This window comes from Homo sapiens, chromosome 4 (genome assembly GCF_000001405.40).
Source record: "Homo sapiens chromosome 4, GRCh38.p14 Primary Assembly".
Lineage (NCBI taxonomy): Eukaryota > Metazoa > Chordata > Mammalia > Primates > Hominidae > Homo > Homo sapiens.
The window spans coordinates 165,185,389-165,187,209 of NC_000004.12; positions in this window are offsets into that span (position 1 = coordinate 165,185,389).

Consider the following 1,821-nt stretch of genomic DNA (forward strand, 5'->3'; position numbering starts at 1 on the left):
AAAGAAAAAAAAAAAAGAAAATTTTCTTGGTGAAAGAGGTGACAGAGGGACGAATAGGATCATACAGTACCCAGAGTGTTCTGTTCCAGTTTCCTCCTCCATTCCATACTTGTCTAGTTCATTAGCAAGCTGTGAATTTGGATGGCTTAATCTGTGACTTGATTAGCTTGATTAAAGGCCGAGTTAAGTTGAAATATTTGGCACTGAATTTCAGAACTGAAACAGATAATCATTACCCTTGCCAAGTGGCAATTCCAAAAGTTCACGGGTTTTGTTGATTGGGGCTGGAGGTGACCAGAAAAGTAAAGACGGGGAGATTTGGTAATAAGGACGGTGGTGGAGGGAGCACTTGGAGAGAGACAGAAAATTAAGAAAAATATACTTGATTTTTAAGTTTAAAAAGAACCACAAGATCAAAATTAAAAATCGTCATAAAATTGGATCTATGGTAACAAGTAGAAAATGCTGTTCACTACAATGCACAGGGATTTAACATTTTAGGATAACAAGTCTATTGCTGCCAGAAACTGGAATTACAAAATAACAATCAAAAGCATATATAATTTGGAAGCAAATAACATAGGAAATACAAACATTTTCACATTTATACCCATCTGTTTCATAATAGCTATGCTGAACTCTTCGAGAAGAAACACATTCCTGAGAGAACAAATGGGGCATTCCACCTGTATTCCACGGAGGAAGACTTATTTCAAGACATAAGCAGAGCCACTTGTAGAAGGATACTGCTCTTATCTTTTTGTGTTTTTCATGACCTTTCTTTTCAGGCAATGTGTTGCAGTTTGGTCCCATAATATGCAACTAGGTTTGTCTGGGCTGACTTATCTGGGTTAAAATATTCAAAGTAATTCTCCATTTGCTATCCTTCCCAAAACACTTTGTTAAAAGTTATCAGTACATAGGTAAAATAGCTTAACACAGTGAAAATTCTAATTCAGAATAATTATCTGAAAGGCTTAAGTGAATTAAAATCTGATTTATAAAATTCTTTTTGATATCTACGAATGTATTTTTAAGTTCTCTCAAAATATGAGCTGATTCTCAGACATTTTCAAGGAGAGTTCCTTTTGGACCTGTTTTAACAAACAGGTAAAAATCATTTTTAATTAGTTCATCATTCATATGCAAATAAATGCTGCTACAGAATTTCAAGAGTGCCTGAAAGGACTTCCTAAGGAAAGCTAATAGTTCCCTCGTGATTTTTTTCTATTTATAGTTTATTTATCAAACACTTTCATAGAAAAAGTACAAAGATCGTGATCTTACCTATGCTAGAATTATCTCAGCTTCTTAAATACTGTTTATTTAATGAGATTTTACTGGAATCCTCATCGTTAGTTTTATCACACAGGAATGGTAATTGTGTCATGTGTATAAACCTTCTGGAAAACATTCCAGACCTCAGTTCCTTATGGTTTGATTTTAGCTATTTCTAGGACATTTATTTTAACATTAAACAGGATTCTGAAAATTTTGTGGATTTAGTGTTGATTTGTCTAATGCATATTTGTCGGCATCTTTTTCCTCATAAGCAACATGTTGGGAGATGGTGTAGACAAAGGTAAGGATCCAAATCATCAGTTGAAAGTGACAGTGAGAATACTAAGGTTGGAGGGTGAAGCAGGCCACCCAGCAAAGTCCAGGCTGGGTCAGTGTATTAGTTCGTTTTCACACTGCTGAAAAAGACATATCTGAGACTCGGCAATTTACAAAAGAAAGATGTTTAATGGACTTACGGTTCCACGTGGCTGGGGAGGCCTCCCACAATCATGGCAGAAGGTGAAAGGCACGTCTCACATG